This window comes from Homo sapiens, chromosome 14 (genome assembly GCF_000001405.40).
Source record: "Homo sapiens chromosome 14, GRCh38.p14 Primary Assembly".
In the NCBI taxonomy this organism is placed as follows: domain Eukaryota; kingdom Metazoa; phylum Chordata; class Mammalia; order Primates; family Hominidae; genus Homo; species Homo sapiens.
In genome coordinates this window covers 68,832,519-68,846,080 of record NC_000014.9, presented here as the reverse complement: position 1 = coordinate 68,846,080, position 13,562 = coordinate 68,832,519, and the positions used below count along the sequence as shown (strand labels likewise).

At 42.2% G+C, this 13,562-nt stretch overlaps 1 annotated feature.

The window, feature by feature from the left end:
* Positions 1,969-2,481: an enhancer, noted in NCBI's record as "H3K4me1 hESC enhancer chr14:69310317-69310829 (GRCh37/hg19 assembly coordinates)". NCBI's record gives its function as "activates a minimal SCP1, AML or CMV promoter by ChIP-STARR-seq in naive H9 embryonic stem cells {active_cell/tissue: H9 hESC(naive)}" and the evidence as "EXISTENCE:reporter gene assay evidence [ECO:0000049][PMID:30033119]".

The window sequence follows — 13,562 nt, the reverse complement described above, 5'->3', positions numbered from 1 at the left end:
GTAGTTCCAGCTACTCAAGAGGCTGAGGCAGGAGAATTCCTTGAGCCAAGGAGGTGAAGGCACCAGTGAACCAAGATTGTACCACTGCATTCCAGCCTGGGTGACAGAATAAGACACTGTCTTTTTTTTTTTTGAGATGGAGTCTCGCTCTGTCACCCAGGCTGGAGTGCAGTGGCGCGATCTGGGCTCACTGCAAGCTCTACCTCCTGGGTTCACACCATTCTCCTGCCTCAGCCTCCCGAGTAGCTGGGACTACAGGCGCCCGCCACTGCGCCTGGCTAATTTTTTTGTATTTTTAGTAGAGACAGGGTTTCACCATGGTTTCGATCTCCTGATCTCGTGATCCACCCGCCTTGGTCTCCCAAAGTGCTGGGATTACAGGCATGAGCCACGGCGCCTGGCCTGACACTGTCTTAAAAGAAAAAAAAAAAAGAATAATAATGATAAGAAGAGAAGAAGTGGTAGAGGTATCTTTGTGCATTTGTATGTATGTATGTGTGTGTATACAAACACAAATTTTTTTCCTAATGTTTATAAAGTATATGTCTTTTTTTTTTTTTAGACGGAGTTTTGCCCTTGCCACACAGGCTGGAGTGCAATGGCGTGATCTCGGCTCACTGCAACCTCCGCCTCCTGGGTTCAAGCGATTCTCCTGCCTCAGCCTCCTGAATTGCTGAGATTACAGGTGCCTGCCACCACGCCCAGGTAATTTTTGTATTTTTAGTAGAGACAGGGTTTCACCATGTTGGCCAGGCTGGTGTCGAACTCCTGATCTCAGGTAGATCCACCTGCCTCGGCTTCCTAAAGTTCTGGGATTACAGGCGTAAACCACTGCGCCCAGCCATGTCTGCTATTTGTTAAGTCTCTGTATCCCTGGAAACCACACAATTTACATATGTAAGAGTTAGTACATTAGACATCACTATTTCTATGGAGTTTTTAAAATGAGAAAAACCTGCTGGATACACACACACACACACACACACACACACACACACACACGTATATCCAAAAGAAAGGGAATAAGTATATTGAAGAGATATTTGCCCTCCTGTTTACTGCAGCACTATTCCTGATGGCCAAGATACAGATCAACATAAGTGTCCATCAATGGATGAATAAAGAAAGAAAATGTGACGTATATACACAATGGAATATTATTTAGCTATAAAAAATGATAAAATCCTGTCATTTGCAGCAACATGGGTGGAATGGAGGTCATCATGTTATGTGAAATAAGCCAGGCACAGAAAGACAAATGCCACATATTTTCAGTCATGTGGAAGCTAAAAACAAAAGTGGATCTCATGGAGCTAGAGGGTTGAATGATAGTTAACAGAGGCTGGGAAGGGGGCTGGGGAAGATGAAGAGAGGTTGGCTAATGGGTACAAACATACAGCTAGACAGAGGGAATAAGATCTAGTAGTTGATACTACTGCAGGGGAATTATAGTTAACAATAATGTATTGTATATTTCAAAATAGCTAGAAGACTTATAATGTTTCTGACACAAAGTAGATATAAATGTTTGGGGTGATGGGTGTCTGATTTTCTCTTTACATGTTGTACACATGTAATAAAAATATCACCTGAGGCTGGGCGTGGGGATCACGCCTGTGACCCCAGTACTTTGGGAGGCTGAGGTGGGAGAATAGCTTGAGGCCGGGAGTTTGAGACCAGCTTGGGCCACAGATGGGGATCCTGTCCCAAAAGAAGAGGGGTGGGGGGAAGAAACAGAATAAGAAATAAATTAAATTTAAAAAATCACAGACACCCCCAAAATATGTATAACTATGATGTATCAATAAAAAAAAAAACTCCAACAATGAGAAAAACCAAAGCGAAATGGAGGACCGGACACTTGATTGACGGTGACCGGGGACTGTGCGTCTTGAGCTGGTTGTGCTCAGGTCTCGTCCTCTCTTGGAATCTCGCTGTGGGCCAGCAGGTGGCGCTTGTGCTCCCCGTGGCCGCGATCCGTGAAACTGGATTTAATATAGTAACCCGATGTTGCCCTGAACATATAATTTTCAAACCTTCCAGTCCACCACAAGGAAAACCTCTGAGGATTTTCTTCTGGGAAGAGCAATTAGCCTAACCTCTTAGGAGGAGAAATTGCATCGCTGAGCTTGTCTGGGAAAGCAACATACCCTCCCAAGAGCAGTCTTGGGGAGGGCGGAGAGAAACCGCCAAGCAGCCTTTGTGAAGAGGGAGGGGTGCTGGAGAAGGGCTGGGAACGGCAGGGTAGGATTTGGGGCTTGGAGTGGGAAGTATCCTAGGTCTGAGGACAGCAAGTCCCGGGCCTGTGGGCTTCTGGGCTTAGGCGGGAGGGTAACAGAGACCGAATGGGTGCAAGATTACTTGGGTGGGCTGAAGATGCTCTGCCCAGCCCAGGCCAGGCTGGGAGAGCCCCTCCTTCACCCACCTACTGTGACTAAATGCCAGGCACTGGTGACACAGCTGTGACAAGACAGGCCTGGTCCCTGCCCTCACAGAGCCTGCAGGACGGGGGGCGGAGGGGGGTGGGCAGGAAATAGCAGTGACCAGGATCTAAGGGGGTTGTTGAGGTGTGTTTGGGGAGGGAGTAGGGCAACTTTCTCAAGGGGTCCAGGCCACTGCCCAGACTCCAGACTCCCTGGGATGGGGAGACTAGACTGGAAGGAGCCATCGGGGAATAGGGATCAGCTGAACCAGGGCAAGGGAAGAGAGTGGCTACTGGGGGTCACAGGGCAAGAGCAGGGAGCTTCGAGCTGGGGGATGCCCAGCCTGAGCCTGTGGGAGGGGAGAGTGGCACCCTGTGCCCTGGTCACAGATGAGGCTGGGAGGGGTGTGTCCTATTTTGAAGAAGAGGCCTTGCTTTGGCAAAGGCTGTAGTTGGGAAGAGAGGGAGAGAGATAGAGAGAAAGAGGCAGGGAGATAAAGACAAAGGGAAGAGAGAAAGAGAATTATTTTGTCTCTACCCTCAGGGACAGTGTAATCTTGGTGGAAAGTGAAAATGTGCCAGTGTACAAGTGCACACACACACACACACACACACACACACACACACACACAAAGACTGTTACCATAAGGTTGTCAGCAACTGGAGCCAAGGGAAGCATCCAGATGGCTGAGCCTATATGACCTTGGGCAAATACTTAACCTCCCTATACCTCAGTTTCTTCATCTGTAAACTGGGAGCAATATTAGTATTGACCTCATAGGGCTGTTAAGAGGATTAAACACAATAATCCTTTTGAAGCATGCAGCATAGTCCCTGGCAGCTAGTAAGGTCTCACAAGTGATTGTTGTTGTTGTCATTCATCATGATCATTAATATCAGTTGTCATCTGCTGGAAAAGGAGGGATTAGAAAAGGTGGGATATGGATAGGCACAGCCAAGACAAATGCGCGGGATGGGAAAAGCAATTCAAGCTGGAAAAGAAAGAACTCGTGGGAACAAAGGTGAAGAGGTAGGAGGGTGAGATTCTAAGTCCTCACTACTCAAAGTGTGGTCCAAAGACTCACCAGCAGCAGCTGCTCCTGGGTGCTTGTTAGAAGTGCAGAATCTTGGACCCCAGCCCAGGTCTACTCACCCAGAATCTGCAACTTTTCAAGCTGTTCAGGTGATTTGTTTGCTTGGGGGAGTTTGAGAAGCACAGCTATCAGCCATAACTCATGGGAGTGAACGATGCTGGTGCCACAGTGGGAGCAGCAGAGAGAAGGCTACAGAGGGATGGGGACCAATCAGTACATGTCCCTGAAATAGTTCCACGTGCAAGTTACTGCCCAGGATTCAATATTTGTTATAATTTTTCCCTTTGAGGTAAAACCTATATACAATGAAATATATACATGAACTGTACCTCTAAGTTTTAACAAGTGCATCTACCAATGTAAACTTGGACTCCAGTCAAGACATAAAACCTGACCAGCCACCCAGAAAGTTCCCTCATACCTCTTCCTAATCGATCCCTGCTCCAGTCCCTAGAGGCAGCAGTTGTTTTGACTTATTTTCTGCAATATAAATTACTTTGCCAGTTTTAGAATTCCGTACCCATGGAACTGTATGATAGGTACTGCTGTGTAACCCTTCATTTATGCAGCATAATGTTTTTAGACACATCTGTGTCACTGTATCAGTCATCTGTCCCTTTTTATTGCTGTGTGCTCTTCCGTTGTATAGGTATGTCACAGTTTGTTTATCCACTATGCTGTTTCTGATTTTTGGTTATTGTAATTAGGCTGCTAGGAAAATTTCTGTATGTCTTTTTGTGAACATACATTTATATTTCTCTTGGATAAATACCTAGAAGTGGGAGTGCTAGGTCATAGGGTAGGTTATGTTTAGTTTTATAAGAAACCACTAGCCCTATTCCAGAGTGGCTGTACCGTTTTATGCTTTTACCAACTGTATTAATCAGCTCAAGCTGCCATAACAAAATACCATAGGCAGAATGGCTTAAACAACAGACATTTATTTTCTCACAGTTCTGGAGGCAGGAAGCCCGAGGTCAGGGTGCCAGAGTGAGGGCTTTCTTCTAGCCAAGAAGGCCCCTGCCATCTTGCCGTGTGCTTACATGACCTTTTTTTTAAGTGTGTGAGTGGAGACAGAGAGAGAAAGAGAGAGAGAGAGAGGGTGCTCTTTAGTGTCTTTTCTTATAAGGACATTAATCCTATTGAATCAGGGCCCAGCCTTTATTACTTTATTTAACCTTAATCTTAACTTTAATGGTCCTATCACCAAATACTGTCACACGGGAGGTTTCAAGATAAGAATTTTGGAGGGACACAAACAATCAGTCTGTAACACCAACAATGTGTGAAAGTTCCAGTTTTGTCAGGTATTTTAATTTTAGCCATTCCTGTGGGTGTACAGGATATTTCATTGTGGTTTTATTTCCCTGATGACTAATGATGCTGATGATCTTATTTTTTCCATTTAAAAAATTGCAGTAATATACACATAACATAAAACGTACCAACTTAACCATTTTCTTTTTTTTCTTTTTTTTTTTTTTTGAAACAGGATCACACTCTGTTGCCCAGGCTGGAGTGCAGTGGTACGATCATGGCTCACTGCAGCCTTGACCTCTAGGGCTCAAGCAGTCCTCCTGCCCAGCCTCCCAAGTAGCTGAGCAGCTGGGACACAGGTATGCACCACCACACCTGGCTAATTATCTTTATTTTTATTTTTGTAGAGGCAGGGTCTCCCTATGTTGCCCAGGCTGGTCTTGAACTCCCAGCTCAACTGATCCTCTTGCCTCAGCCTCTCAGACTGTTGGGATCACAGGTTAAGATGAGGCCACCATGCCCGCCTCATCTTCATCATTTTTTAAGTGCACAGTTTAGTGGTATTAAGTGCATTCATAATGTTGTGCAACCAATCACCACCATCTGTCTCTAGAACACTTTTTATCTTGTAAAACTGAAACTCTATACTCACTAACCAATAATTCCCCATACCTCCATGTCCTGGCCCTGGAAACCAACATTCTACTTTCTGTTTCCATGGTTTTGACTACTCTAGGTACTTCACAGACTCACGCATTATTTGTCCTTCTGTGACTGGCCTATTTCAGGTAGCAAAATGTCCTCAAGGCTCATTCATGTTGTGGCATGTCAGAGGGTTTTTTTTTTTTAATTTTCAAGGCTAAATAATATTCTGTTTTTTTTCTTTTCTTTTTTTTGAGATGGAGTTTTGCTCTTGTTGCTCAGGCTGGAGTGCAATGGCACAATCTTGGCTCACTGCAACCTCTACCTCCCAGATTCAAGAGATTCTCCTGCCTCAGCTCCCGAGTAGCTGGGATTACAGGCATGAGCCACCACGCCTGGCTAACTTTGTATTTTTAGTAGAAGTGGGGTTTCTCCATGTTGGTCAGGCTGGTCTCAAACTCCTGACCTCAAATGATCCACCTGCCTTGGCCTCCCGAAGTGCTGGAATTACAGGCGTGAGCTGCTGCGCCTGGCCAAGGCTAAATAATATTCTGTTACATGTATATACCACATTATGCTTATCCATTCATCCAGTGATGGACATTTGGGTTACCTCCACATTTTAGCTATTGCAAATAATAATGCTATAAACATGGTGTACAAATATCTGAGACCCTTCTTTCAATTCTTTTGGGTATATACCCAGAAATGAAATTACTGGATCATATAGTAATTCTATTTTTAATTTTTTGAGAAACAGTAAATGCATCATTTTGCATTCCCAACAACGTTGAACAAAGGTTCCAATTTCTCCACATTTTCAGCAACACTTGTTATTTTCTGTTTTTTTGTTTTGTTTTGTTTTTTTAATAGTGACCATCCTAATGTATGTGAGTGGTATCTCATTATAGTTTTGATTTGTATGTCCCTAATTAGTGTGTTCATCCATTATTGCATTGCTATAAAGAAATACCTGAGCCTGGGCAATTTATAAAGGAAAGAGGTTGAGTTGGCTCACTGTTCTGCAGGCTGTACAGGAAGCACGGCACTGGCATCTGCTCAGCTTCTAGTGAGGCCTCAGGATGCTTTCAACCATGGTGGAATGTAAAGGGGGAGCAGGCATATTCCATGGTGAAAGTGGAGCAAGAGAGAGAGGGTGGAGGTGTCACACACTTTCAAACAACCAGATCTCATAGGAACTCAGAGGGAGAACTCACTTATCACCAAGGAGACGGCACTAAGCCACTTATGAGGGATCCACCCCCACACAGTGGTGGGGACTCCCACCAGGCCCCACCTCCAACACTGGGGATTACATTTTGACATGACATTTGGAGGAAACAGACATCCAAACCATATTATTCCATCCCGGCCCCCTAAATATCACGTTCTTCTCACATTGCAAAATACAATCATTCCCTGCCACTAGTCTTCAAAAGTCTTAACTCATTCCAGCATCAAGTCCAAAGTCCTGTCTCATCTGAGTCTCATCTCCTTCCATCTCTTTGGCTGTACAATCAAATCAAGTTATTTACCCCAAGATAAAATGGCAGTACAGGCATTGGGTAAACATTGTCATTCCAAAAGGGAGAAATTGGCCAAAAGAAAGAGGCTGAAGGCTCCATGCATGTCTGAAACTCAACAAGGAAGACATTAAACCTCAAAGTTCCCAAATGATCCTTGACTCCATGTCTTGTATCCAGAACACACTGGTGCAGGGGGAGGGCTCCCAAGGCCTCAAGCATCCTTGCCTCTGTGGCTTTACAGAGTGCAGCCTCCGTGTCTGCTCTCACAGATTGAGGTTGAGTGCCTGTGGCTTTTCCAGACTCAGGATGCAAGCTGCCCATGTCTCTACCATCCTGCGATCTGGAGGGCAGCAGACCCCTTCTCACAGCTCCACTAGCCAGTGCCCTGGTAGGGACTCTGTGTGGGGCTCCAACCCCACCTTTCCCCTTGGTGCTGCCCTAGTAGAGGTTCTCCATAAGGGCTCTGCCCCTGCAGGAGGCTTTTGCCTGGACACTCAGGCTTTCTGGAACATCCTTTGAAATCCAGCAGGAAGCTGGCAGCCTCCTTTACTTTTGCACTCTGTGAGCCTGCAGGCTTAACACCATGTGGAAGCACCAAAGCTTATAGCTTGCACCCTCTGGAGTGGTAGCCCAAGCTGTACCTGGGCTCCTGTGAGTTGAGGCTGGAGCTGAAGTAACTGGAATGCGGGGAGCAGCCTCCTGAGGCAGAGCAGAGCAGCTGCATTCTGGGCCTGCCCCCTAAAACCATTCTTTCCTCCTAGGCTTCTGGGTCTATAATAGGAGAGGGTTTCTCCAAGATTTCTGAAATACCTTCAAGGCCTTTTCCCCATTGTCTTAGATATTAGCACTTGGCTCCCTTTTAGTTGTGCCAATCTGTTTAGCAAGTGCTTGCTCTGCAGCCTGCTTATATTTCTTGCCTGAAAATGATTTTTATTTATCTGCCACAGGGCCAGTTTGCAAATTTTCCAAACTTCCATGCTCTGCTTCCCTTTTAAATATAAGTTCCAACTTTAAGTCATTCCTTTTCTCCTGCATCTGATTTAGACTGTTGGAAGCAGCCACATCACTCCTATATTTATTTTTTCCTAAAAAAATTTTTTTTTTTGAGACAGAGTCTCGCTCTGTCACCCAGGCTGGAGTGCAGTGGAATGATCATGGCTCACTGCAGCCTTGACCTCCCAGGCTCAATTGATCCTCCTGTCTCACTCAGTCTCCTGAGTGGCTGGGACCACAGGCATGCACTGCCATGTCTGGCTGATTTTTAAATCTTTTGTAGAGACGGTGTCTCACTGTTTACGCAGGCTGAACTCCTGGGCTCAAGCAATACTTCAGCCTTGGCCTCCCAAAGTGCTGGGATTACAGATGTGAGCTACCATGCCTGGCTACATGCCACTTCTTGAATGCTTTGCTGCTTAAAAATTTCTTGCATCTGATACCCTAGGTCATTACTCTTATGTTCAAACTTCCATAGATTATAAGGACATGAACACAATGCAGCCAAGTTCTATGCTAGGGCATAACACAAGTGACTTTAATCCAGTTCTCAGTAACTTACTCATTTCCATCTGAACCTCATCAGCCTGGCCTTCACTGGCTATATCTCTCAGTATTTTGGTCACAACCATTTACTCAGTATCTAAAAAGCTCCAAATTTTCCCTCATCATCCTGTCTTCTTCTGAGCCCTCCAAACTCTTCCAACCTAGAAGACTAGAGTAAATAACTGATCCTTCAGTGCAAAAACAGAGGAGACATCCAGAAGAAACAACAGCAAACAGGGAACCATGACCTTCTGTAATGGACAAAGCAAGGAACCAGTGACTGACTCTAATGAGACAGTGATACATGAACCCCTTGACCAATTGTTCAAAACAGCAGTTTTAAGGAAACAGTGATCGCCAAGATAACACATAAAATCAATTCAGAAATGTTTGAGACTTTTGTTTTGTTTTGTTTTTGAGATGGAGTTTCAGTCTTTTGCCCAGGCCAGAGTGCAGTGGCGTGATCTCGGCTCACTGCAACCTCCGCCTCCCAGGTTCAAGTGATTTTCCTGCCTCAGCCTCCGAGTAGCTGGGATTACAGGTGCCTGCCACCATGTCAGACTAATTTTTGTATTTTTAGTAGAGACAGGGTTTCTCCACATTGGTCAGGCTGGTCTTGAATTCCTGACCTCAGGCGATCCACCCACCTCAGCCTCCCAAAGTGCTGGGATTACAGGCATGAGCCACTGTGCCCAGCCAAGAAAAATTTAACAAAGAGATTGAAATAATAATTAAAAAATCAAACAAACAGAAATCTTGGAACTGAGAAATACATTTGCCAAACAGAAAAATGCACTAGAGGCTCTTAACAGCAGAATGGGTTAAGTGGAGGAAATAATTAGTGAGCTTGAAGACAGGCTAATAAAAAATATGGCCATAGGAGAAAAAAGAAGAATGAAAAGGAATGAAAATTATCTACAAGATATAGAAAATTACCTCTAAACACCAAATCTAAGAATTATTGGTATTCAAGAGGGATATGTACAACAGCAAGGGGCAGAAACTCTATTCAAAGAAATAATACCAGAAAACTTTCCAAAACTTGAGAAATATATGAATATCCAGTACAGGAAGGTCAGAGAACATCAAACAGATTCTACCGAAATAAGAGCACCCCAAGGCATAAAATAATTTTCTCTCAAAAGTCTAAGATAAATAAAGGATCCTAAAAGCAGCAAGAGAAAAGCAAATAACATATAAAGGAGCATCAGTTTGTCTGGCAATAGACTGCTCAATGGAAACCACATTGGCCAGGAGGGAGTAGGATGACATTTTCAAAGTGCTGGAAAAAACAAAACAAAACAAAATAACCCTGCCATCCAGGAATACTGTATCCAGCAAAGTTGTCCTTCAAATATTAAGGAGAGATGTAATCTTTTTCAGACAAACAAAAGCAGAGAATTCACCACCACCAGACTCATCTTACAAGGAATGCTAAAGAGAGTTCTTCAACCAGAAGGAAAAAAACCACCCCACGAACATGCAAAAAGAAAACACTTGAAGGTATAAAATCCACTGGTAAAATTAAATACATGGACAAACCCAGAATATTCTAATATTGTAAATGTGGTGTGCAATTCATGCATAACTCTAGTATGAAACCTAAAGAGCAAATCTATCAAAAACAATATAGCTACAGCAGCCTACTAAGAGATAGGCAGTATAAAAATATGTAAATTGAGACAATAAAAAGACAAAATGTGAGGAGGATGGAGTTCAAGTGTAGAATTTTTTTCATTTTTGTTTCTATTATTTTCTTTGTGATCTAGAACTTTGTGATAAGTTGCCACCTCTGTAAAATGACTTGTTATATTTATAAGATGTTTTCTGTAAGCCTCATAGTAACCACAATGCAAAAACCTATAATAGAGTCACTGCAAATAAAAAGCAATGAATTAAAACATACTGCCAGAGAAAACCACTTAACCACAAAGGAAGACAGTAAGAAAGAGAGAAAGGAAGAGAGGAGTTACAAAACAACCAAAAAACAAGCAACAAAATGGTAGTGGTAAGTTCTTACTTATCAAAATAACACTGAATGTAAATGAATTAAATTCTCCAATTAAAAGGCATAGAATGGCTAAATGGATAAAGAAACAAGACCCAACTATATGTTGCCTACAAAAAAACCCATTTCACCTATAAAGACACACATAGAGCCCAGGAGATTGAGGCTGCTGTGAGCTATGATCGTATCACTGCACTCCAGCTTAGAAGACAGAATGATACCTTTTTTTTTTTTTTTTTTTTTTTGAGATACACATAGACTGGGCTGGGCACGGTGGCTCATACCTGTAATCCCAGCACTTTGGGAGGCCAAGGTGGGCGGATTACCTGAGGTCAGGAGTTCGAGACCAGCCTGGCCAACATGGTGACCCCGTCTCTACTAAAAACACAAAAATTAGCCAGGCATGGTGGCACATGCCCGTAATCCCAGCTACTCGGGAGGCTGAGGCAGGGGAATTGCTTGAGCCTGGGAGGCATAGATTTCAGTGAGCCGAGATTATGTCACTGCAGCCTGGCTGACAGAGCAAGACTCTGTCTAAAAAAAAAAAAAAAAAAAAAAGATACACATAGACTGGAAGTGTGTCCAGTTAAAATAAGATATAGTACGCAACTGGAAACCAAAAAAGGGAAGTAGATATGTTTATACCAGATAAAATAGACTACAAGTCAAAGACTGTAAAAAGAGACAAAGAAGGTCACTATATGATGATAAAGGGGTCGATTCAGCAAGATGATACAACAATTATAAATATCTATGCACCTAACGTTAGAGCTCCCAAATATATAAATCAAACATAAATCTATCTAAAGGGAGAGATAGACTACAATATAATAATAGTAGGGAATGTCAACACTCTACTCTCAGTAATGCACAGAACATCCATGCAGAATATCAATAAAGAAACATTAAACTACACACTAGACAAAGTAGACCTAACTAATATTTACAGAATATTTCACCCAACTGCTGCAGAATACACATTCTTTTCATCAGCATATGGAACATTCTCCAGAGTAGACCATGTCTTAGGCCACAAAACAAGTCTCAACAAATTCAGAAAAGAAGAAATAATATCAAGTATCCTTTCTGGCTACAATGGAATAAAACAAGAAATCAATAACAAGAAGAACCTCAGAAACTACACAAATACATGGAAACTAAGCAACATGCTCCTGAATGATGAATGGGACAATGAATAAATTAAGAAAAAAAATGTAAAAAGTCTCTCAAAACAAATTAAAAGGAAATATACCATAATCTGGGGGATACATCAAAGGCAATACTAAGAAGGAAGTTTATACAACAAACAACTATATCAAAAAAGCAGAAAGATTTCAAATAAATAACCTAATGATGCACCTCAGGAAACTAGAAAAGCAATAACAAACCAAACCCTAAATTAGTAGAAGGAAATAAATACTAAAGATTAGAGCAGAAATAAATGAAATTGAGATTTAAAAAATACAGAAGATCAATGAAACAAAAAGTTGGTTCTTTTGAAAAAATAAAATCAACAAACATTTAGCTAGACTATCTAAGAAAAAAAGAGAAAAGACCCAAGTAAACAAGATCAGAAACTGAAAAGGAGACATAAGTGAGACTACAGAAGTTCAAAGAATCATTAGAGACTATTATAAACAACTACATGCCAACAAACTGGAAAACCTAGAAGAAATGGATAAATTCCTGAACATATACACTTATCAAGACTGAACTATGAATATTGTTCATATGAATATCAAGACTGAACTATGAAGAAAATAGAAAACCTGAACAAGCCAATAATGACTAATGAAATTGAAGCTGTAACAAAGAGTCTCCCATCAAGAAAAGCCCAGGACATGATACCTTCACTGCTGAATTCTACCAAACATTTAAACAAGAATTAATACCAATTCCATGCAAACTCTTCAATAAAACTGAAGAATAGGGAATACTTCCAAACTTGTTCTACAAGGTCGTCATTACCCTGATACCAAAACTAGACAAGGACATGACAAGAAAAGAAACAACAGGCTAATATCACTGATAAAAATAGATGCAAAACCCCTCAACAAAATACTAGCAAACTGAATTCAATAACACATTAAAAAGACCATTTGGCGGCTGGGCACAGTGGCTCACGCCTGTAATCCCAGCATTTTGGGAGGCTGAGGGAGGCGGGTCATGAGGTCAGGAGATCGAGACCATCCTGGCCAACATGGTGAAACCCCATCTCTACTACAAATACAAAAATTAACTAGGCATAGTGGCACATGCCTGTAGTCCCAGCTACTCGGGAGGCTGAGGCAGGAGAATCGCTTGAATCTGGGACGCAGAGGTTGCAGTGAGCCGAGATTGTGCCACTGCACTCCAGCCTGGGGACAGAGTGAGGCTCTGTCTCAAAAAAAAACCATTTGCCATGACCAAGTGGGATTCATCCTAGAGACATAAGGATGGTTCAACATTTGCAAATCAATAAATGTGATACATCACATTAACAGAACCATAAGACCATTTCAATCAAGGCTGAAAAAGTATTCAATAAAATTCAACATCCCTTTATGATGAAAACTCTCAACAAATTGGGTAGAGAAGGAGCATATCTCAAAATAATACAGGCCATATCTGACAAACTGTCAGCTAACATCATACTGAACAGGGAAAAATGGAAAGCCTTTTCTTTAAGATGTGAAACATGACGAGAATGCCCACTCTCAACCTTTTAATCAACATAATATTGGAAGTACTGGCCGGAGCAAGTAGGAAAGAGAAAGAAATAAAGGGCATCCAATTGGAATGAAAGAAATCACATTAGCTTTGTTCACAGATGACATAATTTTATACTTAGAAAAATCTATAGATTCCACCAAAAAACTGTTAGAACTGATAAACGAATTCAGTAAAGTTGCAAAATCAATGTACAAAAATCAGCATTTACATACATCAACAGCAAACAATCTGCAAAAGAAATCAAGAAAGCAATGCCATTTATAATAGCTACAAAGAATATAAAATACCGAGGAATCAATTTTTTTTTTTTTCTTTTGAGACAGAGTCTTGCTCTGTCACCCAGGCTGGAGTGCAGTGGCTCA